Below are 26,821 nucleotides of genomic sequence, written 5' to 3' on the forward strand. Positions count from 1 at the left end.
TATATACCTTTACATTTACATTTATCCAGAAATCCTGTTCATATTTCTATGGGGAAATTTTGGATGACGAACAATTTCCTTATTTTGATTATGTGAATTTGAAGTGAACTATGATGAATTTATTAATTACAAGCAATTTCTCAAGAAAATAAATCTTAAAACGAAGTATTGCCTTGTTCTGATATATTCATTATTATTAAAATTTTAGGTCGGGAGCCATGGCTCACTCCTGTAATCCCAGCTCTTTGGGTGGCCATGGCGGGTGGATCACTAGAGTCAGGAGTTCGAGAACAGTCTTGCCCACATGGTGAAATTCCATCTCTATTAAAAAAAATACAAAAATTAGCAAAGCGTGGTGGTGCACACCTGTAGTCCCAGCTACTTAAGAGGCTGAGGCAGAGAATTGCTTTAACCTGGGAGGCGGAGGTTGCAGTGAGTGGAGATCCTGCCACTGCACTTGAGCCTGGGTGACACAGCGAGATTCCAATTCAATAACCTGCACATGGTGCACATGTACCCTAAAACTTAAAGTATAATAATAATTTAAAAAATAGAGTAAAGGACCTGATGCCAAAGGCATCTGAGTTATTAAAGATTTGAGAATTCGAAGTTATTGTTGAAATGCAATGAGCTTGTGTATATTATTAGGTTCAAAGTTAAATAACTTTTTATTTAAGTATCATTATTTTATTTGTAGATACTTTTAAAACCCTTCTAATATAAATCTATGTATTATAGTGGTTGCTATTCAGAATTTTTAGTTAATTTTCCCCTGGTATATAAATTGTACTAATAATCTAAAAATACATTAATTGGCTCCTTAGCTATTTAAATTAAGATACGAAAGATAGTATATAATAATGATTAAGATTTTTAATTGTTAATTCAGACAATCTTAAAATCTAATTCCAACAAATTAGTATCTGTGTAAAGTGAGGCAAGTTGCTTAACCTTTCTGAATTTTAAGTTTCTTTATCAGTAAAATGGGGCTAATGATAATGCCCAACTCAAATGGTTTCTTTGAGAATTTAAAGAAAAAAAATGTACACTTCTTAGCCTAGTGTCTGACAGAAACAATTCTCATTATCTTTATGATGTTCAATTTCTTTCTTCTTCTTTTTTTTTTTCCTTGATATGTCACCCAGACTGTCCTCACACTGTCACCCAGGCTGGAGTGCACTGGCGCGATCTCGGCTCACTGCAACCTCTGCCTCCTGGGTTCAAGCGATTCTCCTGCCTTAGCCGTGATGTTCAGTTTCTAATACTGTAAGTGGTGTTCTAGGTTCTTCTTTCCTTCCTTCCTTGCTTTCTGGTAGGATTTCACCATTGCTATAATCAGATGACTCCACATGTTTTTCATTCTGATATATCTCTAAGCAGTCAGCTGTCCTGTGATTGCTTAAAGTTGGGTTGAAAACACCTAGACTTTTTAGTTCATGGGGTGAAGAGCTATGAGGAGACACATTTAGATGTAATGCCAAGGACCGTGCCTCTCTTAGAGATCTTGAACTTTGAGCTGGATACAGTGACTGGATGGGAATTAAGCTTCTATGTCTTAGGAAGAGGCTGGTTGCATTCTTTACACGGGAGAAATTTGAGACATTTCTGATAGTTGGTGGCCAAAAAGAGGAATGTGGCAGAGAATGATGACTTGTTTACTATGCCCATTTCCCTTTCTGTCTCATAGCCTCTCTTATAGATGGGAGTGGCCATGGACAGAATTTTGGCCCATTCAATCTGGGCTAAGTTATTCTTAGGCAGGACACTTCCAATTCTGACCCATAAATAATCTCCTCTCTCTCTTCCCAAACACTGACCTAACCTGTGGGTCCAGTGGGAATTAGAATCACTATTTGGAATGAAGCAGGTCAGTGAGTCACTACACAAAAAGAGAGTCTTCCAGAAGAACTGCCTATTCATGAGCATACATGTTGGGTGACTTTATTGTGTTAATCGCTGACATCTTGGGGTTGTTTGTTACAGCACTGTGACTAATACACATTCCAAATAGGGCAACATTTACTCTGTGGTCTATAGAATGAAAAGAATTATTCAAAAGATAGAAAAATAACATGTGTAGAAGCAGAATATATAGTTTAAGACAGAGGGAATAGCAAGTATACTAGGCAAGAGGAGATAGAGATAGAAAGAGATAGAGAACGGGAGAGAGAGAGAGAGAATGGCCTATTTCAGTAACTGCAATAAGCAGTCTCTCTATACCTATATTAAACTCCTTCCTACTTTCCTCTTGTTTACTGGAATCCAACCACAATCAGCACTCTCAGCCCCCCAAAGAAACCAATCTGTTTTCTGTTGCAGAACCTTCTCAAATGCTGTCTCTTCTGCCAGATATCTCTTCTCTTGAATGTTTGGCTAACTCCTATTTACCATATGTGTCTTAAATTAAATGATGCTCCAAGAAAAAATATTTTCTGAAAGTACAATCAAATTAGACCCTTGTTCTTAAATTCTTTCACAGTATCTTGTTATTTTCTTTTACAAGTCATCAAAATTTGTATTCATTAAATAATGTGTATATTAAATTTTAAGGTATCTGTCTCCTCTATCACACATTAAACTGAATGAAGGTTTATTTATCATTGAAAAATACTTGGAACATAACATGTACAGAAATATTTAGTGAATGGATTTATATGACATGAAAATAGAAAGTAAATAAGGGAGAGTTTTTATAACTTGTGTGTTTCCACTTTATCTTGGGGACAATTGAGTGTTCTGAGGGGTTTTAAGCCATGGGTTGATATAATCAGATTTGCCTTTCAGAAAGATTACTTCATTTGGAAAAAGATTGAGCAAGGTAGAGTAGTGTGGTGTTAGGCAAGTGTAGAGACAATTGTCTCTGTAATTTATGAGATAGATAAAGATAGTATTAATTAAAGAAGTATGAGTGAGACTCAAAAGCAAAGCATGGAACTGAAAGATGCTACAAATGCCAGCCAAATGGAGAAGACAGTGTAAGGTACTGATGAAACAAATGTTTGGGAGAAACACCCAACATTATTCTTGGCTACTTATAAGCTATGTAAATTTCATCAAATAGCTTAAATTTTCTGTAGTCTCAGTTTTGTCATCTAAATAAATATGTTTTCTTTGTCAGTTTTCAAACTTTTATGCCAGCAGTCAATTAATGAATAAAATTATCAGCAAAACTACATCTTCTTTGATTGAATCAGTGAGTGGAGGGTTCAAAGCCTCAAACCCCTAAAGTTCTGCTCTTGTCACTTTTCCTGAGAGCTCACATTGATCTCTGAAGAACTTTTGGGATTTGAGGGCCAAAATGTAAAAATAATTGTACTCCTGGAGATCTACATTTGGATGACATGGACATATCTCAAATTGAACTCTTAATCATACTTCAAATCAGTTTATCCACATATTGCCTCTTTTTTTCTAAGACTGTGCTTTTTCAGTTATCCTATTAATTTTTTATGCTTCATTTACCCACTATTTACTAATTGCTCTTAAATCTACTATCTCCTTCTCATATATTTCGTGTGTGGTCTAGCCATCACCATTAAGATGGCCCACTAGCTTGTCATACTTAGTAAGCCCCAAATTAAACTCCACATATAATCTCCATCTGCACAGCTGTTCCCCATCTTATATTCCGTCATCTGAATGATTTCCTTTAACAGCTATCCAGCTCCCTGTTTGAAAAACTCAGGAAAGTCCCAGACTCCTTTATCTCTTTTTATATCTCTTTTATTTATATTTAAGTGGTAAGACCCAACCTTATTCTTGCAAAAAATATCTAGATAGCAGTTACAATGATTCAACTCATCAATTAAGTAATCGTTAATACTGTGAAAATATATTAAACCAATCAATTAAATAATGAATCAATAAGAAGATAGGAAGACAAGGAGTATCTTGTAAATCCATTTTAAAGACTAGCAAAAAACGGCAAGAAAAATCAATCAATCAATAAGACCAAAGGTGAAAGAAAGCCTGAGAGAATGTTAGGCTGCAAAAGTCTGGAGAAGAGAAAGCAGTCAATGTAATATATTGCAGACAACGAGGCAGATAAGGACTGAAAGGGGAACACTAGCTTAGTAACAAAGAGGAGGTAGAATTTCCTAGTGAGAGAAGTTGCTAGAGTCCTGGGCATAGAACTCAGGTTTCATTGGGTTGAAAAGCAAGCAGGAGGTGAGAAATGATAGGCATTGATACCTCTCAGGAGCCTTGGCCATAGAAGCGAGGGTAGCAAGTTACAGTATTTCTGAGCCTCACTTTTCTCATCTGTTCAATTGTTGTGATAAATACCTTGTCTTCTGCACAGAGATTTTTGTAGGTTGGGAGGAAAGTGTGGGTGGCACTAGAAACTTTTCAAATCACTCTTAAATCCTTGAAAATAAGTACAATTTCTATGTTCAGTAACCAGCAGCTGATAATTGTCAGTTACTTATGTTATAATATCTATTTTAAATTTTAAAAACAGCGGTCTCCTTGAAGCCAGAGTATCTCTTATTCATTTTGGCATCTTCAGTCCCTAACGTAGTACCCAGTACATAGTAATAACATAATAAATATTGCTTTGTGTCCCCCAAACTGTATTTTGGCATGTAACTTAAATTCTATACAAGTAAGGGTACATGGCTTTAATTCCAAAAAAGATACAGAAGAAACAAAAATAAAAAAATAGAAGACATAAAACTGGATGCCATTCAAACCACAATCTAGTGTGTCTTTTCTTCTTTCTCCTTTTCACAGATAGAGAGAGGCTTAGTAGTTCACTAAACCCAAAACTGGTATATGATCTATCTAGTTTTTAGTTAATTAACATTTACTTTGGGTAAAGGTATCTACAGGAAGACACCATTAGACAGTTTCCTCAATCTACAAACCGATGATTATATCTGATGAACAAAAGACAGTGGTAGTTGTTTAAAGAAATATTCTAAAAACCCAGAATGATATTAGCACACTACTTGCTACATGCAGAATGAGATTAAAAACTCAGAACTAACCAGCTTCTGTGTAACAGCTCTAATAGAGTATAAAAAGTAATCAAATTTGGAACATATGCAAAATCCTTAGAGTTCACTAGTTTCAGACATAATAATACATGCCAGGTTATATTAATGAGAGATTAAGTATTGTGTACTTGGAATCTTTAAATTATCCTTTGCCTAATTTAGTTTATGTTTGAGTTCCATTCCCCTGCTCATATAATTTCCCTTGTGCTGTGTGGCACAGAATGGTCCAGGTAGATAGTATTTTATCCATCAGTAATATTGCATTAATCCAAAGGAAACCCATTTTATCCCTAGGGTAGTGAGTCAAGTTTAAGGGACCATTGTGCATTGCTCAAATTAAGAGAAATAAGAGAGGGACCATGGTACATAAAATTTGCTGAAGCCCTAAATGTTGATGGAAACAAAATACAATATAGCATTGTTATGAATCTGCACCAACAGACCTGGCATGACTCCTGAGTTCACAAATGGAACTTAGGTTTTTGCAACAATCTGCAAGGATTTTGTATTAAATTCTCACTTCAATGTTTATAGAGAAGCATATGAAATCAGAATAATTTCACCCCAAAATAGGTGAAAGACGTGTTTAGGCATAAAATGATGGGACATGTGTTCTACAAGGTTTAACAGAAAGTATGTGATTAACTTTTCACCAAGGCAATGGAATTTCAGTTTATATCTTTTATAAAAATAGTCCAAAATATTCTAAGTATTTATATTCAGTAACAGCTACTGGTGATGCTATGCTTTAGTTGTCTTTTGCCATTTCTCTGTCCCCATCTCATGGTTCGGGCTACTAATAGTCCACACTTCTACTCCTCTTTGGAAGAATTGCCCTCCTTCAAATGGAGTCACTTTCCATACATTTGCAGATAACTGGATGTGTCTGAGTTTTCATCTCTCCACTCAAGCTCACTTGCCTAAAGATGGGACAATGCACAATTCTTAGGGATAATTTGTACTTCACAGATTCCTTGTAAGATTAGGTTACAAGGAATGATTGGCCTAAAGTTACTTCCTTGCTTGTTTTTCTTTCTCTTTCTTTATTCTGATTCTCTTTATTTCTTACCAGTGTCTCCTGAAAACACTTCCTTAATTAGTAACTTTTATAAAAATTATCTCAGATCCATTTCCGGGGAATCCAACATGAGGAAGATAATGTGCAAAAACACTCCTGCATAATAATTAGTTTATTTTAGAGTTGTCCAATAAATAATCTGTTTGCTGAGAGAAAATGTCTATATTCAGTGAATTCATTAAAAATACATTTATTGTATACATGTGCCACATTTTCTTTATCTGTTCATCTGTTGATGGACTGTTAGGTTGCTACCAAATCTTAGCTATTATGAACAGAGCTGCAACAAACATGGGGGTTCAGATATCTCTTTGATTTATTGAATCCCCTTCTTTTGACTATAGCCGATAATAACTTAATTGTACAATTTAAAATAACTAAGAGTGTAATTATATCATTTGTAACACAAAGGATGAATGCTTGAGGTAATGAATACCCCATTCTCTGTGATGTGATTTTTTTCACATTGCATGCTTATATCAAAACATCTCATGTACCTCAAAAATATATATACATACTAAGAGTGTATATACCCAGAACTAACCTGCTTCTATGAAACAGCTCTAATAGAATAGCATATAAAAAGTAATCAAATTTGGAATATATACAAAATCCTTAGAGTTCGCTGGTTTCAGATACAATAATATATCCCAGGTTATATTAATTGGAGATTAAGTATTGCATATTTGGAATCTTTACCCTTTACCTAATTTAGTTTATGTTTGAGCTTCATTTTGCTGCTCATATAATTTCTCTTGTGCTATGTGGTACAGAATGGCCCAGGTAGATAGTATTTTATTCATCAGAAATATCCCATTAATCCAACTGAGACCCATTATATCCTTAGGGTAGTGAGTCATGTTTAAGGGACCATTGTGCATTGCTCAAATAGGCATGCAATGTGAAAAAAAATCACAAAATAAAAAATAAAACCACAAACATAAAAAAATAAGATTTATTGAGAAGCTGTTGGGTGTCAAGCATTGGAGTAGGAACTTTGAACATAGAAGAGACCAAGTCTTCTCCCTACCTTCATGGAGCCTATAGTCTACTAGTAGACAAAAATATTAAATGTACAATATACTTAATTCAAGATGTGATTATTTTGTGAAGGGAAAGTAAAGGACTCATGAAAACAAAGATGGGAGGGTGAACTATATTAGGTAGTCAGAGAAATCATACACAAAGAAATGATATTTAAGCTGAATAGGAGAAAACCAGCTAAGTAGTGTGGGAGCATTTCCTCATAGGAGGGAGAAGCTGAGGAGAAAGGCCCAGAGGCAGGAAAAAAGGCCAGCTTGGCTAGAGTCTAAAGAGCACTGCTGAGTAACTTAGAATAAGGAAACCTAGAATGGTCACCAAGAAAAGCTGGCAAGGTGAGCAAGTGCCAAATCATACCTTTTCTTTTAGGTCACAGTAACTAACAGTTTCTACTTTATACCAAAAGCCATTAGAAGCATTAAAGAGTTTCAGGAAGGAGAAAAAAACACACATTATATTTGCATTTCAAATGATTGCTTCAAGTTCCAGTTTAGGTTGGAGAGAAGCAAGATCAGGAGGTGATTTTAGTAGGTCTACGTACAGTCCAGGTGAGTAATGATGGTGGCTTTGGACGATGGGAGGCAGTAGAGGTGGAAAGAAGTAAACGGTTGAATTCAAAAGATATTTAAAAAGTAGAACTGAGTGAATAATCAGAGATGGAGCAGAAAGGAAGGAGAGGTGTCAAGCTAACAGTACCATTTCTGTCATAAACTCCTGGGTATAAAATCATGTTATGGAGATGTGGACCACAGAAAGGAAAGTAGGTTTGGAGGTCAAGGTTTCAATGATTTACCCCCATTATGTCAAATATATAATACAAATACAGGTATGTGCCACTCAACCATATGCAACCATATGGATATGTCTAAAAAATGCATTGTTAGGTGATTTTGTCTTGTGTGAACATCATAGAATGGACTTACATGAACCTAGATGGTGCAGCCTACTACACGCCTAGGCTAGATGCTATTGCTCCTAGGCTACAAATCTGTACAGCACATTATTGAACTGAGTAGTACAGGTAATTGTAACACAATGGTAAATATTTACATATCTAAACATGTCTAGGTATGGAAAAGGTACAGTAAAAATACGGTACTCTTATCTCACGGGATGACCGTTGTGTATATCCAGTCTGTCTTTGATTGAAATGTTATGTGGCACGTGACTGTATTATTGTCAGGGAGAGGCACCTTTAAATCTGTGTAGATATATAAAATATAAACACACAATGTATATTCTGAGTTTTTGATAATGTATTTAACTTGATTATGACTTTCTTATATATATAAGAATTCAGAATATAAAAGCATTTTGTAACTATTGTTAGTCTTCTATAAAATGCAAAGTATATAAAGTCTTACTGAAAAAGATTGTAGGACAAGAAGAGAAAAGAATAAAGGGAGACATGCAAGGAGAAAATAAGAGAAAAATAAAGTTAGAAGAATTAATAGAGGAAAGAAAGAAAGAAAACATTTGTTCACTTTTTCTCCATTAATTGTCACAGTCAGATTCAACCTTATGCCAAGGTCATTCACTTGTTTATAATGAAGATAAATGTAAAATACTGTATCCTTGCTATATCATATAAACAACTATTTTTCAATTGAGGGTTGAGACTTTTAATTTAGTGTTTCATCTTTAAAAACATCTATTAAATTGAATTTGGTGTGCTTGTAAATTTGTATTAAGTTTAGTCTGATCTATTCTATAAACAAAATACCTTATTACTCTTGCAAACCATAAGGTGAGATCAAAGCAATGCATTTCCATTAGCCAGACAGTTCCACTAAAGATACATCATTTCTAGTTTCCCAAGAGAATGTCTAAGAATAATTTAGAAAGAAAATTCTCAAATGTTGTGTGGGATGAACTAGAATAATCAGGCACCTAGTGTAAATACAATAGGAAATCTTTTCCATGTTTCTAGCCCTGCAGTGTGGATTTTGTAGAGTGATATGTAGAACTCTCAGCATGGTGTTATAATTGAAACATTGTTGTGTGTTACAAGATTCCATTTTTGATCTCACCTCCATAATAGTCACTCTTTAATCTTTTTTTTTTCTCTGTTGCCTCATTTTGCCTTTTCAGAGTATTACGCATGCTGAATACCATTATTGCTTTTGGTTATTAACCAAGGATGGATTTGGAAAAAGTAATTTTGTGCTGGCTTGATGTCGCAGAATAAGCTGTCAAACATCATAGCAGGTGACACTGTGCTGTCCTTCTGTGGAGCTGCAGCACAGTGTGTGTTATAGCTGGAAGGTTATAGGTAATCAGAGAGGATTACTGATGGCAGCTTTATTAAATATCTGTGGAGGTCTACTGTGGCTGGGGCCAGATAATATGAGCTTCCAATATGAAAACAGGAAATTATTAATAAACTGGATTGGCTGTTCTGAATGCCCTTGCAAAAGTTTATCTAATTTTATTTTCCAGGGAGATGAATGTCAAGTATTAGATTTATTATTACTTAAGGTGTAGGCCTTTTATTCTTTGAAGTGATTCTCTTTTAATTTGTTATATTTCCCTGGATGTTTGATGATATTAACATTGTTTAAACCAGAATGTTTCCATTCTCATTTTGTAGTAAGTAAATTTTGACAGTTCTGAATAGAGCAGGCTTTATGTGCGTTTTCTGATACTATATGATAAAATATAGTTTACCAGGAGATTTAAGTCAGCATATAAGTTGAGTGATGTTTTTCTACATTCTAATAAGTCATTTTTATAAATTTCCTTTAAACACAATTCTATAAACTTTTTGCAGATTTTTCTAAAAGCTAATAATTTGTTTTGCTCATCCCTTACTGAAGGAGAAATTGTTGATTTATTTTTAATTGCAGTACAAAATAATAAGGTAAAGCATTTTAAGAACTTCTACAACCACTTTGATGCACCTTTATCTACTCAGAGAGATGAGAAATGTGGCACTTTATGTTTAACACTGTGAAGTTTGACAGGCATTGAAACAAAAAAGGAAGTGTAAATTTTACTAATCAAAACATCTGTACTGTGCAGCCATTTACATTTTCCTATCAAGACATGAGAGAAATGTTAATTTTAGACGACTCTTTTTATGACCTATAATTACTGTCATTAAGAAAGCTCTGGAGACTTACAGGGAGCTTTGACTGAAATACAGTTTGACATGTTCTATAATTAATGCTGAATTAACGTGCTACATGAAGTGCTTAGGAAAAAAAGGGTTTCTTTTTCTCAAAGTGAAGTCAAAGAAATTGTATTACAGGAAAGCCCGCCAGCACAGCAGTATTTCAACCTATATTATTGAGCCTATGAAAAGTCAACTTTTTAGGTACTTTAAATTATCGTAAAACTTTCCTTTCGTTTTCATTAGAGTAGGACATGGATACACAAGGATAGATGTTTGTTTCTAAGTTCTTTTTTTCATATACTAGGTAAAAAGTTAACTAACGATTAAAAGTAGTTAGTCGCTTTTGACATTCTGAGAACATTAATATGATATTAACAGAAAACTTCATTATAAAATGTATAATATATGCTTTTTAGTGTAGTCATTTTAATGTTCTCCCTTAAGGAGTATTATTGTAATTCTTGGCGAGAATGTAAGTTCCATGAAGGCAAGTAATTTTGTCTTTTTATTTTTTCACTGTTAAATTCCTTGTAACTAGAATTATGCGTAGTACATACTGGTTGCTCAATAAGTATTTGATAAGTGAATTAAGAAAATAAGTGGTTTGAGAATATTTCAATATTTCCAAAGATATTCTTTATAATACTCTATTAGTCAAGAAAAGTTTTAATTCCATGGCAAGCAATGTGACATAAAATCTCCTTAGCAATAGACTTCTTGTACTTAGAACTTGTGTGTGTGGTATAGAAAGAGATCAATGCTTTTTAAGAATAATCTTCTAAATAAAAATTGCTCAAAGAGAAAAATCTTACTTTTTTGTAGGAGCACATTTAAGTTTTATGTTAGTTATAATAATTTTATATTAGTCATTTTTAAAAGAGTGAAACTGAAAAGTCTTTGAAGTCATTTCCAGAAGCTATATTAAGCAGTTACAATTCTTACAATGTGTGTCAATAAAAAAAAATAATCTTTGCAATAAAAGAAAACACTGAACGTTATTTTCCTTTTAATTTTAATTGTATTATTGTTACAATTTTTATTTAATGTCAATTATTAATTAGAAAAGGGATACTCTAGGGAAGATTTAGAAATAATGTGTCTTCTACCATATTCCATTTCTATCTTTAAGACCCAGAGTAAGCCTCAGGGAGCAGCTAGTAAGCAAAACACTAAAATACTTGTAGGTCAATTTTCTAATATTTAACTTAATATTTATGGTTTGGAAATTTAGACATCTCAGATAATTTAGTTGAGAATTTTCCAGACTATCTCAGCACCTGAACTGATTGCTCCTTATAGCCGAAGCAACATCTTGAAGTTATATTGATTTGCTTAACAACATTTCTGTGAATTAAAAACAAAAACAAAAACCATAAGTCATACAAATGCCCATAGACTCAGTGAAAGCAAGAGAGATTCTGATGGATCTTAACCTAAAATACCTATGATGGACTGGTCCAGGTAATTCTTCTTTAATTTTGAGAAAATCCTATTATTATTTCTGTCTAGAAACGTATTTTGATTAACATTGGCTTAGGAAACTGACATAATAAATATGTATAATTATATTGGTTAGAGTATTATTATTCTCAATTTGGAAAGTAGGCATCATATGAGTTCCTAAAATATCTGTAATCAATTGACTTAATCTATGATCATCCAAGGAAATTTGCAAGTATGCAAAATTTAAAATAAAATTAAAGTACAATCAATCAAAACCAAGGATCTTCTCATAGTGCTTTTAGATCTCGATTTTGCTTATCACAGACTGACAAAGTGGTTTAACTCTTTGAAGAAAAGTTCCTATTGGAGTTTAAATTGTTGTTATTGGAGCTAAAGAATATTTTTGAAGAAGATTTTTCAGGAAGTGGGATAATAATGTGGGTTTTTCAGCTATGTTAGAAATGCCTTAATTTTATTCTCCCTCGATCTTTTGTGGGAAATCAAGCTTAATATTTTTTGATTCATTTATGTTTGAGAGGAGAGAAAACATTCCAATACAAATAACCACAATGAAATGAAGTTAAATGTAGTATAGCTTTGTTTATTGTAGACAGTTTGGTTACCCATTTTTGGGGAAATTACAAAATCAAAAAGCTAAAATTGAATGCTTTCCTCTCCTGAGCCTCTCTGATTTATATTTTACAAGCATCTCCCCTTTCACTGTGAGCCTCTTCACGCAGGAGACCATGTACTACTCCTTTCAGTATCCTAATTGAAGTAAGGGCTTTGTTGTAGCCATGCCCCAAGTTTTAAGTGAATGCTCATGACACAGAGACTAAGCCTGTATGGAAAGTAAAGATTCCTCATAACGGAAGTGAGGATACAGATGGGCTTTGGAAGCACTCTGACACCATAGAAGATCTTCTCTGAAGTCAGTAAAGAGTATATACTGGAGGACAGTGGTAGAAAGAATTGCATTATGTATTCTCTAAAAGGTGAGTGATATGTGAATATGAATGTGTGTGACAGAAGCAAATTTTGGATAAATGGTATATGAAATACATGGCTTATGAGCTGAGATCAAACTACAAAGTTCTTTGAATTTGCTACTCACTCTTCAGCAAAAGATAATCATAAATTGATCTTAAGTTCTAAAATAAAGCCCCAATTCAGAAATTAGAATTTGTGCAGCCCAAGATATTAGTTAATATATTTGTTCTTAAAATAAAGCTTTTTCTCCCTCTAAGCCACGATCAGTCCTGTAAATGGAAGTGTGTTCCTGGAAGAAGATAGGGTATTCCTGTCCATGCTCCCCATTTACTTCTTTTGTTTCTTGTAGCAGGGTTGAAGTGGGAGAAGACAGGAGAGGTTGAAGGATAGAACAGATGGTTTTATTTTCTGGGTGGCTTCACACTCCCCGAGCCTAAGACTTGGTTAATGTGACCTGTCCCTTTATAAGGGCATTTGTGGGAAATTCAGAGCCCATCTCTAAGGAACACACTCTGCAACACTCTGGCTTGTAACTCAGTCTCACTCTTGGTTTACTTTGCAGTTCTCTTCATAGCCTAGACTTTCTTCCAAGGAAGAACCTAAGTGTAGAGTATGGGCCATTAGTGCCACTGCCTCTACCTTACTGCTTTCTCCGGGGTGAGTCAGGCACCAGTCCACTTTTCCTGGATCCACTTAGTTTTAGAGAGAACTTACCAGATATTTTCCACAAGCCTGAAGACACTCCCTCACAGGGTGCGATAATTAATTTTGTTTGTCAACTTGACTGGGCTCAGGAATTCCAAGGTGGCTGGTAAAACATTATTTCTAGGTATGTCTGTGAACATTTCTCCAGAAGCAATTAGCATTTGAATCAATAGGCTTTGGAAACAAGATTCTCCCTCATCATTGTAAGTGGACATCGTCTAACACAATGAAGCCTGAATAGAAAAAAAATAGGCAGGAAAAAAAAGTGAATTTGCTCTTTCTTTTTGTTAGCCTGGATATTCATCTTCTCTTGCCCTCACACATGGGTGCTCCTAATTCTTGGGCCTTCAGACTCAGATTGAATTATACCACCAGCCTTTCTGGTTCTCCAGCTTGCAGGTTGTAGATCATGGACTTCTTGGCCTCCACAATTGCATAAGCCAATTCTCTTAATAAATCTCTTCTTGTATAATATATATATATATACACACACACTATATATATGTGATATTTAGAGTTCATATATATGTGTGTGTACATATATATTCACACACACACATACACACATCCTATTGGTTCAATTTCAGTTTAATACACACACACATGCACACATACTATATGTATATATATAAAATATATAAAATATATATATTAGGGTTCTAATATAGATATCCTATTGTTTCAGTTGTAGATTTTATATATATACACACACGCTATATATATTAGAAATATATATGCGTTAGGGTTTATATTTTATACCTATATCTATATCTATCTATCTATCTATCTATCTATCTATCTATCTATCTATCCATCCATCTATCTACCTATCTCTCCTATTGGTTCAGGTTCTGTGGAAAACCCTAACTAATAAACAAGGCATTAAGGTAAAAGATATAGTATCCTTGACTGCTCCCAATTTTTGAGAGTGGAATAGCAACATTCTTCATTTCTCTCTAAAAGTGTTTCTTCATATTTCTCACTCTCAACAATAACTTTTTCTTATTTCCCTGCTCTGGCCAATAGTCCAATTTACTAAGGGGACAATTATGCAAAGCCCATACTTGTCCCCTTAGTAAATTCTGCGTTTCAAATTGACTACGTATTTTTTTCTTTCACAGAATCACCTATTTTACCGTCTTTTACAACTTCGTTGTAGGAGGTGTGAAAGAGGAGGGAAATTGTGTTGGTAAGTACTTTGAAGCCAGAATGACATATTTGCCCAAGTTTCTAAGGATTGAAAGTATGTCAAAGGAAATCTTACCTCCATGTCCAAAAAAGAAAATAAGAAGAATGTTACTCACTGAAGTAGTCAGTAAGCTCAGAAGCCAGAAAGCTTTCCCTCCTCTAACTCCCTGTCTTAGAGTGCCCCAACAGAAAGCACTGGATATGAAAAACTCATTGTCAAAAACTTCTCCTAAAGACCATGTGACAAAGAACCAGAAGATTTAAAATAAGAAAAAACAAAAAATAAGATGTGTGTTGAGGAGACAATGAAGGCTATGAGATCAATTATGAAATAAGAGAGTGGTGGCAGAAAAGGTACAGGAAGGGAAGAATTTAAGCACAATTTAAGAAAAAAATATGTGTAGATAGTGGGTAAGCAAAAAGGAAAAAACTAAACAGGTGAACCTTATTGTAGTAAGATATTTAACCCAATGTATCAAAAGCTGGTTATTTCAAAACATAACCAACATAAAAATTATAAATGAGACATTGAAATTTTTTAGACTAAATCTTTAAAATCTGGTATGTATTTTATACTTACAGCACAACTCAATTTGGACTAGCCAAATTTAAGTGCTCAATGGCCAGGGCAATTCTGCACAGGAGTTGGCCAACCTCGGTTCACAGGTTCACTGGCCAAATCCAGCTGAATCCCTGTTTTGGTATGGCTTGGAAGCTAAGAAGAATTTTTACACTTTTAAGTGGTTGAAACAATCATAATAGGAATAGTATTTATTGACACCTGGCAATTACATGAAGTTTAATTTTTTATATCTATAAATAAACATTTCTTGGGGCACAGCCATGATCATTTATTTACATATTTTCTGTGCCAAATTTCTTGCTAAAAACAAGAGTGCCAATTAGTTTTGGGAAACTGTATGGCCCAGAAAATATTTACTCTCTGGCTCCATACAAAAAAGTTTCTGACCTCTCCTCTGTAGGGCTAGCTCTCCAAGGACCTTGACCTCATCTTTGCTATCCTTGTTAGCCTTCAGAACATGGCCGACGCGAATGGAACCCAATAATTTCAGAAGAGAATATATTTTATAAATTAAGTTGAACAAGCATATTTTTGAAAACAAAAATGCACTCCTAAAATACACACTCTTTATCTAGAAATCTTATCTTAAAATTCTCCTAGTCACAGACACTATGTCACCAGAACAGAAAGGTGATAAAATATATGAATATTTAAGAACATAGGATTCTCAATTCAGATAGGCCTGAGTCCATGTTCCAACTCTGTCCCATCTTTAAAACTGGGTAATTCCTAAACCCCTCTATCCCTCCATTTTAATATATGCAAAATGGAGCAAAATACTGCTTATTTCACAAAGATTTTGCATCAATTAAATAAAATAATGTATGTAACAGTATAGTAACTGAAGTCAGCCAATATTTTAATTGTCAGATATTTTTACTACATATATCCAAAGTTTTTAACTTAATTTATTCCTTTCAGCAGTTTTAATCACTTCTTTTGAAGGATGTGATACACTAATTAATATGGTTTATAAAGCTGTATTTTAAGTATTTGTTCATTTTGAAAAATCTTAGCACAGCTATATAAGTTAGTTGAAAATATTTTGGACACCAAAACACATTACTAGACCATTATAATTGCATGAGGCTTATAAATAAACACACATACATACACTATTTACATGGAAATGAAGAAAATATTCAAAGAAAAAAGGTATTCATGTATAAGGGACATATTTATGTCTAAGAAATATCACTTAGAAAGCTTTAACTATTCTGAGAATTATAAGCACACATGTTTAAGTAATATACTATACAACTTTACCCTACGCCCATAAAATATTTTTTAACCACAACTTTAATATTAATAATTTAAATAATTTAAAATTAATAATTTAATAAGTAAATATTTTAAATGAATAATGTTAAGTTAAGGATGTTTAAATGTTCTAATACATTATTATATTTGATATTATAATAATACTTAAATCACATTGTTCCATTTATTTCCCTTGTTGAAATGCTAACATTACTGAAAATAATTCTTTGGACAGTTATGTTTAATTTAGGTTTTATGACTCCTCAGAGTGAAGAGAGGAAGAGTGTTGTAATTTTCTGGACATGGAGAATCATTTGCTATGCTAAACTGGATAAATGCTTGGCCTACCTCATGGGAGTAGGATAGAAAAGAGTAGCTGGATCTATTCTGCTGAGACGCCAAGGTCTCCATATTCTTTCAAAATCAATGGCCTTAGAGGGATCATGAATTGCTGAGGTAGAACAATCCTTGCTCCTCTTTATCTCTCATCTACTGCCTTTGAAATCAACTGGAGCTGCGTACTTGGGAAACTGGAGCTGCGTACTTGGAAGCAGCACAAACGGTTAGACTGGAAATAAAAATATGGCCTAGGATTTGTGATGCTCAAGTGATTCAGACTCATTTCTCCAATAGCTGTGGTTTTGAAATATACTAGACTTATTGCTGATATATTACAGTTCATAGTGTTCTAATTCATTTTGCAGAAGTAATCCTGCCCAACTCGACCATTACTCTTTAAAGTAGAGCTTACATTTTGGTTCCATTTGAAATCACTCATTATTAAGTTCATAATACCTGATTTTATCAAATTATGCATATACAAAAGGTGTCCATGCCTATTTTGTGGACAAGAACAAAGTAAGTGAAAACTCCCATGATAGGTAATGCTCATGTGTGATATAAAATGCACCTCCAACTTGCTGAAGCTTTCTCTTCCTTCATTGATGCGGTTTCTGTAATTCCACATATTCTTTCCTGAATAATTAAAAATGAGGATAATAAGGTCCCTTAGCTTCTTTACTCAGCATATAACAAAGTACACTTATTCTTTCATATGTATAAAATCGATATTTAAAAAATCATATTCTTAGTCTTTATTCAATTTTGTGGATGCACTGCACATGTTAAACTTTTATCTTTTAGAGAGAGCATGGTTTGTATTTACTTAATTTGTTTCATATTAGTATATATTAATTTTGTTTTATATTCATAGGCTATTTATCATCAGTTAGGAGAATTTTGTTCCTACCTTTTCAGAAAAACCCCTAATATATGTTATATGCCTTGGGAAAAATATGTAATAAATCTAAAAATAATTACCACTTTGTAGTATTTCACAGTGAAATATTGATTATTACTGAAATTATTATGCTGATATTAATCTTTTTCTTAATGTGTAACAATATTTCCACCTTTGTTAGTTTCATTTTGTGCATCAAAAGCAGGATTAAAGGACCCTGTGTGGTGGCTCATGCCTGAAATCCCAGCACTTTGGAAGGTCGAGGTGGGTAGACCACTCGAGCCCAGGAGTTTGAGACCAGCCTGGCCAACCTGGCGAAACCCTCTCTCTACTAAAAATTCAAAAATTAGCCAGGCCTGTGGGCGCACTCCTGTAATCCTAACTATTCATGTGGCTGAGGCTGGAGAATCGCTTGAACCTGGGAGGGGGAGGTTGCAGTGAGCAGAGATTGCACCACTGCATCCCAGCATGGACGACAGATCAAGACTCCCTCTCAGAAAAAGAAAAAAAAAGAAAAAGGAGGTTTAAAATGTTTAAACATTATCATGATGAAATGGTCACTAAAAACAATAATAACATAATTATATTGCCCTAAAATTATTTGGATTTAATGAGTTTTTTCCCGAAATAAAAAATTTCAGATAGATTTAAATGAGAGAAGCTAACCATTTAATGAAAGAGAGATATGAAAAAGGGCCTAAATTTAACTTTAATACTGCTGATAAACAAATAAGTGTTATATTTCATAAATAATATCAGATTTTACAAATACTCTAATTTATTCTAACGTGATCATCATGCAAAGTGATATTTTATTTATGTAGGTAACTGTTAATCAGCATCAGTTCAAACAATACAATAATTTGGTTTCTTCAGACTATAGTCACACATTCAGTACTTTCTCATTTTAAGTTAAACTATCACTAATCACGAGGGAACAAAGATGTGTCCAAATTTTGAAGGAACATGGGTGTCCCAAACCTCAGATAATGAATTTTAGCTTTCTCTGAAGAAAAGCCTTTCCTGTATGTAGTCTGGCAATATTCCAAGATTTCTTTTTAAAAGTAACTCCATATGTGTACTGAAAATAAGCTAGTGATGTTTTAAATCAACTGGAAAGAGAGGCTGTTCTTTTCAATATTTTTTTCCCGAGCAAAACTTTGAAGTGCAGCATTTGGGGATTATGAAGGTTTGGGTTACCTGCTGCATGAAGGCATGGAAAATTATTTGAAAAAGTACTCTTTTTAAAAAATGTGCTTTAAACTTATGAAATATCACCTGTGGTTCAGAGAGGGTATGCAACTCAAGCATTTTTTTCAATCTAAAGAGAAAGAGTTAATTTTAAATTGAGATTATATTTTCCAAGTTTTCTATGGCTACAAGATTATAATCAAAAGTTTGCGGTTCACTTATTTCAAAGGCAGGGGATGATGGGGATGAGTAAATGCTATTAAATTAAAGAAAATGTGGGTAAATTTATAATGAGTTAGGCACTGTGAGCAAAGCTGAACCAAAGAATACAGCTCACAATACTCTAATGATTGTTTCACAACAGGCATTTTTTTTTATGTTCTCACAATCTCTTTTTATTTTTCAAAGATTTATATCAGTTTATGACAGTATAACTACAAAAAAAGTATAGTCACCAAAGTAAACAATGACATACTCCTTGTCAAATCTTAGGGCCTATTTCCACACTCTTGGCCCTTATTTCTTTTATTTATTTATTTATTTATTAATTATTATTATACTTTAAGTTTTAGGGTACATGTGCACAGTGTGCAGGTTAGTTACATATGTATACAATGTATACATGTGCCACGCTGGTGCGTTGCACCCACTAACTCATCATCTAGCATTAGTTATATCTCCCAGTGCTATCCCTCCCTCCTCCCCCCACCCTACAACAGTCCCCAGAGTGTGATGTTCCCCTTCCTGTGTCCATGTGTTCTTATTGTTCAATTCCCACCTATGAGTGAGAATATGCGGTGTTTGGTTTTTTGTTCTTGCGATAGTTTACTGAGAATGATGATTTCCAATTTCATCTATGTCCCTACAAAGGACATGAACTCATCATTTTTTATGGCTGCATAGTATTCCATGGTGTATATGTGCCACATTTTCTTAATCCAGTCTATCGTTGTTGGACATTTGGCTTGGTTCCAAGTCTTTGCTATTGCGAATAATGCTGCAATAAATATACGTGTGCATGTGTCTTTATAGCAGCATGATTTATAGTCCTTTGGGTATATACCCAGTAATGGGATGGCTGGGTCAAATGGTATTTCTAGTTCTAGATCCCTGAGGAATCGCCACACTGACTTCCACAATGGTTGAACTGGTTTACAGTCCCACCAACAGTGTAAAAGTGTTCCTATTTCTCCACATCCTCTCCAGCACCTGTTGTTTCCTGACTTTTTAATGATTGCCACTGGTGTGAAATGGTGTCTCATCGTGTTTTCGATTTGCATTTCTCTGATGGCCAGTGATGATGAGCATTTTTTCATGTGTTTTTTGGCTGCATAAATGTCTTCTTTTGAGAAGTGTCTGTTCATGTCCTTCGCCCACTTTTTGATGGGGTTGTTTGTTTTTTTCTTGTAAATTTGTTATTTTAAGTGATTTCATTTCCAAATACATTCAACTTGTATGTATTTTCTTGTAATCTGTTTTGAATTTACTTGATGCATTCAAAGGCTTGATATCTATGAGTATGTGTGTAAAATGCACACAGACATACACATACATATATATATATAGATTACATTGGCAATATTTTAGCTAGAAAAAAAGTTGCTAGTATTGCTAAATTTGTATTATGTAACTATAAAGTAAAATGCATTTGAATAAGCATACTTTTTTGGAAAGCAAAGAAACTGTAATAATACATGTCTGATTTACATCTTGAGAGATATTTTTACCTACGATATCACAGACACACCCGCTACAATGAGATACTGTCAACTAGCATTTTGAAAGTTTTGAATGCCTAGTTAAATATTCACTTTAGTATGCAAAATATTTGATAATAATCAAACAGGAAGATGGTTAAATCTTCTATTTACAGCGATATTTCCATGATTTTAAAATATCAAAGGTTATGATATTTATCAACATAAATAGCAATTTTATCAAAAGTCATACTTCATTAAAGATATAAAGAAATTTCTTTAGACACTCACTTCCAAATTAAGTTAACTTTTATAAATAGGTGTGTTAGTTTTAATTTTTACAATTTAAACGTAAATGTAGTATGGTTTATAACTTACTGTAAACCTATAACTTTCACTAGAATATATGTTTTATTAAATGAAGAAATATTCACTATCTGTGTCTTCCAGGGAGCAGACGCTGTGCTAAGGGCTGAGGAGCCAGTGAAACTGAAATATAGTACATATTTGTATTGATAAGAGTTAAGGAGAAAAAATAATGCAGAGAAGGAGATTATAATACTTTGAGTGTGTTGTATGTGGTGGGTTGTTGAAATTTTTATATAGAGGCTAGAAAGCATCTCTGAAGTGACTTTTGAGGAAAGGAAAGGGCTACGGGGCTTAGAAAAGTGGACATTGTAGGTATTGGGAGTTGGAGTGTTCCCATCCAAGCCTGACACACAAGAATGTCTCTGTTGTGTTCTGTGAACAATGAGGAGGGCAATGTCACTGTAGCTTAATGAAAAACAGTGAAGGAAGTTATAGGAGATTTCTGACAGTTATGAGGTCAAGATCAGGTAGGACCTTGAAGGCCATAAAATAACTTTGGATTTTAAATAGAGGGAGTTGGAGGATTTTGAGTAGAGGAGTGACATAATGTGAACAAGGTTTCAGCAGATGACTCCTGTTAGAACAGACTGTAAGTGGGCAAGGGTGGTGGCAGCAAGGCCATTTGGGAGCCCATTGCAACAATCAGGGCAGAGGTGATGTTTTCTTGAACAGTGGATTGTGACAGTGGTGATGACAGTGGATGTGACAGATATTAGGAAGTGGCTGATATAGTATTTCGAAAGCAGAGCCAACAGGGTTGGATATAAAGTATTATGTGGAATATAAGATAAAAAGAGGAGTCAAGATGGGCAGATGAGGTTGGAAGGATGAGGTAGTCATTGACTGTGACAGAGATGACTGTTAGAGCAGAAGGTTTGGGCAGAAAACATTTGGAATTCCGATTTGGACACTCTATTAATAGTAGGCAATTGTTTACACAAGACTAGAGTCAATGTGGAAGCCCAGAAGCCCAGTTTTAGGATATACATTTGAAAGTCATTAGAATATAGATTGTATTTAAAACCCGTAAACTAAATGAGATCACCCAATGAAATATGCAATTACTGACAGATAAATATGCAATTCTTTATTATAAAATAAGCATAGTCCTTGTTACTTTCTTTCTATATGTTGCAACTATAATACACACACACACACACACACACATATATATATATACATAAAACTTAGTAGACAAAACTAGACGATGCCATCTCAAGAAAAAAATAGGAAGATGTTGACAAGAAAAGAAAAGGAGAACTGGTAGAATTGCTACAAATAATCCCAAGAGCAATTTACTACTGTGTATATAGCTGAAAATGTGTATGCCCAATGACTCAAAATGTCCACGTATGGACATAAGAAAATGTTATAAATTTTATCATATATCCTCAAAATACTTACATTAGAATTTTTGTTAAACCACTGCAACTCACTATCTAGCAGAAGAGAAATGGAAGAATACAGGTTGCCATATCTGAACAATGGAATATTACACAACTGCCAACTATATAAACTAGAACTATATAAATCAACATAGATTGGCAAACAGACATAACATTGAGTCAACAAGCAAAGTGTGTATATATTATATAGTTTTTAAAATATTTTACATCAATTAAAAAGAAAAATATGTTATGATATATATATATACATATATACACCTTACTAAATATAAAAGCATTCATAGCTTCAAACATCATTATAATTATTGTTACTGGGGCATAACACTGGAAAGAGGAACATAGATGATTACAATATTATTTATATTGATTCATTTCTCAAAAATATATAAAATAATATGATGCAAGTATAACAGAATATTTTTATTTCTTCTTTTTGGGTATGTTATCCTATGTTCTTTTCTATATTATTTTATCTTTTTGAAGAGATTATGAAATTGTGTGTTTGTGCATGTGGATGTGTGAAAATTGGATTAGGAACTCTCCCAGATTTTGAGTCATTATGCTACAGAGCTAGATTGCTACTAGAACTATTAGATCAATTGTAGTACACTTGGCTCTTAGTAAAATATTTTACTAAACTCTATTATTAACTTCTCTCAATGGAAAAGAATTCTCCTTCTGCTAGTTTCCATAGTCGAATATAAAATTATAGCATTACACAACCCAAATGCAAAGGATGGAAACAAGCTACCTCTTAAAATAAAAACACCCCTCCTCCTCCAACTCTGGAAACTGACATAATCATCATGGGGAGAAAACTCACAAACAACAGATGCTGTGGTTCACTTTTCACTTGTTGACACTAAACAAGAACACCTCTGAGATTCCACAGCCAGTGTTTATGGATCACAGTTGAAATGGTAAGATGGTATATTCTGGTACTGTACTTCTAAATATTTTATGATAGAAGGCATTTATGACAGAGAATCATTTTACTCACAAAATGTTAGGTCTCCTCTAGTATTTTCTTTATTTTAACTAGAAAGAATACTACACCTTTAACCTGTACTGAGATGAAAAATAATAAACGTGTAGTGACGCAGAAGAATTTTATGAAAAGTAAATGATTTCATTTTCAGAGAGGTAAATGTTCAATAAAACATGTGGGATATGATTAATTTTTAGTATTGCACATAGTAAGATTCTCAAAATATAGTTCATTAACATAATTAACAAATATGAAAAATCTTCAAATTTGGTAATTTGAATATTAGAAATATGTTTAAAAATTCTATATTACAGGCCGGGCGCGGTGGCTCACGCCTGTAATCCCAGCACTTTGGGAGGCCGAGGCGGGCGGATCACGAGGTCAGGAGATCGAGACCATCCCGGCTAAAACGGTGAAACCCCGTCTCTACTAAAAATACAAAAAAATTAGCCGGGCGTAGTGGCGGGCGCCTGTAGTCCCAGCTACTTGGGAGGCTGAGGCAGGAGAATGGCGTGAACCCGGGAGGCGGAGCTTGCAGTGAGCCGAGATCCCGCCACTGCACTCCAGCCTGGGCGACAGAGCGAGACTCCGTCTCAAAAAAAAAAAAAAAAAAAAAAAAAAAAAAAAAAAAATTCTATATTACAAACATGAATCATTACTAATATACATTTTTAAAACCATTTCTGGAACTTATGTTAATTTTCCATTAGGTCTAATTAGATTGCATTACAGATACTTTCATATTTACATGAAATAAATTACTTCTCTAGCTTCTTTAATTCTTCATAGCCAACTTGCAAATGCCTGCTGTTGATTACAAGGATGTGAGACAGTAAAAGTTTACATTGCAGTGACTTTTTCTTTTACATGAATCAAAACAGTGCATTTACTGAGCATGTGAGCTATGCACATTGCCTAGGTTCAAATTCTTTAATTTCTCATTTTCCCTGCCTTTAAACAAGGCTAATTATTTTGTGATATTTCAGTGGGATAATACATAAAAGTATTAGGTGTTTGGCACCTGGTAAGCACTTAGATCTCATCTATCAACAGCTTAATTATTATTGGGTATTTTCTGTTGCTGAAAAGGAGCTCGTTTTCTAAATAGTCTCTGGTTTCTCAGCATGCACCTTGGACCCACTTCAATCGATTTTCCTTATTTAACAGTTATTTAGATCATTTAGAAAAATCACACCTGATTAAGTCCCTTCTGTAATTAAAACCCTGAAGAATTTTCAATTACTTTTAGGGCACAGACCAAAAATCCTTAACATACTCTTTAAGGTCCTGCATAACATGGCCCTGCCTTCCTCAACCAGCCTCATCCTCATAATTTTTCCCACTGCTTTCACCTTCCAGTCACACATTGTCCTCTTTAAGGTCCTCAAAAATCATCAAACTTCTCCCTACTTTAGGACAATCACATACACATGCAACCCTTCTCCCCAGTTAATTCCCACCTGCACTTTAGATCCATCTTCTAAATACGATTTCTGTGAATCTTCCTGACAATCCATGACAGCTCCTGCTCAGGTCAGCACTGCTCTATAATACCCACTTCTTATTTTTTCTTTGTGGTTAGTTTTATTGTGAGATAGTATTTTAATATATTAACAAAATGAGTTTTCCACATAGAAAGTATATGATGAGTTACAGCAAGCCTCATTACACGCCCTCCAATTACCCATGACTATATAAAGTTCTCCTAGACTGGAGTGAGGAGAGGGGGAATCCTAGAGGAAACAAGAGAGCACAGAACTTATTGGTTCCCACAGAGAAGGTAGGTGGGGAGAGCAGGCAACAGGAAGAGCACAAAGTTTTGGAACTTTAAGAGTTTAGGAAATTTAGGAGCTTATAAACCTACTAGGCCTATAGATGAAGTCGCAGAAGTAGTCAAATCCTCAAGTATCTCACCCTACAGCGTGTTGTGTAAGTAGGAGAAAAGGCCCAATGATGTTTCTCGATGTTTGACTCTGAAACATCAGAATTCTTTGCAGTCCTAGAAAATTGCGGGTAAATTTCAAACAATTTTCAGCAAAGGTGGGCATAAATTGTGAAAAACCTCTGTTATCATCACCACTATGTCAATGATATTGGCCACCATGTCTGGGTTGAGTACCAAGCAATCTCCAAAACTTGGGCAAATCCTCAGAGAAAATGTTTCCACTAATAAATTAGGGGCCATAATACAGTTGAAATTCAAATATAAGAAGATAATACAGTTAACTTTTTTACAATATAGATTTATTGAATACATTTGTTTTGGCTCTTTAAAATTATTTAACTCCATGATACACTCTAAGCTCTGTAAAGATAGGAATTTTGTCTCTCTTATGCATCTACCTTCAGAACTCAGTACAAACTTTGGCACAATAAATGAATACATATTATAGGCTTGGATAAATAGGTGATGATGAATGAATGAAAAGTGCAAGGCCTACTGGTTGTAGATCACAGGCAATATCTTATGGGATATATATTTGATTAAAAACTTAGATATACTAAAAAGATTACTAGGCTTATTGGCAAAGATGTTGCCTCCTGAGGCTAGACCACTTAACTCATCTGGTCCCCAGTTCTCACATTGGTAAAATGGGGGTAATAACACTTAAATTGCTTAGTGTTCTGAGATTTAATATGAAATAATGTTTGTACACGTATTAGGCCATTTTTGCATCACTATAAAGAAATGCCTGAGGATGGGTAATTTATAATGAAAAGAGGTTTAATTGGCTCACAGCTCTGCAGGCTGTATAAGCATAGCTCCAGCATTTGCTGGGCTTCAGCAGATGGGGTAAGGGCTTCAGGAAGCTTACAATCATGAAGGAAGGCAAAGCAGGGGCAGGCACATTGCACAGTTGAGAGCAGGAGCAAGAGAGCAAAGAGGGGGATTTTTAACAACCAAACCTTGCATGAACTAAGTTGAGCTAGAACCCACTTATCACTGAAGGGTTGGTCTTAAGTCATTCTTGATGAATCTGCCCTCATGATTCAATCACCAGGCCCCATCCCCCAACACGCCCCATCTCCAACACTGGGAATCACATTTCAACACGAGATTTGCGGGGAACAAACATCCAGACCATATCAGCACACTGTAGATGGAGTTTATTTTTTAAGCTCTTTTTTTTTTCTTTTAAAGAATATTTTTTTCTAAGCTACTCTGAAATCAGAAAACATATCTTGACTTTATACTGTAGGAAATAAAACAACACATAATTTATGGATTAATATTTAGAGAATCATTCTTTTCTGAGTCAATGGATTTTTGCAGACATTAAAAAAAAGTTTGGCAATCAGATTACCTGACTTAGCTACTGTTAGGAATTGAATTGTGCTCCCCCAAAATTCATATGTTGAAGCCTTAACTTCTGTATTTCAGATTGTGACTGTATTTCAATATAGGACCATTAAAGAGATAATTAAGTTAAAATGAGGCCATTAGGGTAGGCCCTAAGTCAACATAACTTTTGTCCTTATAGGAAGAGGAGATTAGGACATCAAGAGACACCAAGAGTAACCATGTACAG

At 34.3% G+C, this 26,821-nt stretch overlaps 1 long non-coding RNA gene across 1 annotated transcript, besides 1 other annotated feature; it reads left to right on the forward strand.

The window, feature by feature from the left end:
• Positions 1-1,186: 1,186 nt before the first annotated feature.
• LOC102724874 (uncharacterized) lies at positions 1,187-26,821 on the forward strand. The gene is made up of 3 exons (NR_125830.1): positions 1,187-1,266; positions 14,491-14,558; positions 26,774-26,821. It is a non-coding gene; the product is annotated as an uncharacterized LOC102724874 (long non-coding RNA).
• Positions 8,472-10,672: an enhancer, noted in NCBI's record as "VISTA enhancer hs1422". NCBI's record gives its function as "enhancer in: limb[13/14]" and the evidence as "EXISTENCE:transgenic organism evidence [ECO:0001131][PMID:17130149]".

Source organism: Homo sapiens, chromosome 8 (genome assembly GCF_000001405.40).
Source record: "Homo sapiens chromosome 8, GRCh38.p14 Primary Assembly".
Lineage (NCBI taxonomy): Eukaryota > Metazoa > Chordata > Mammalia > Primates > Hominidae > Homo > Homo sapiens.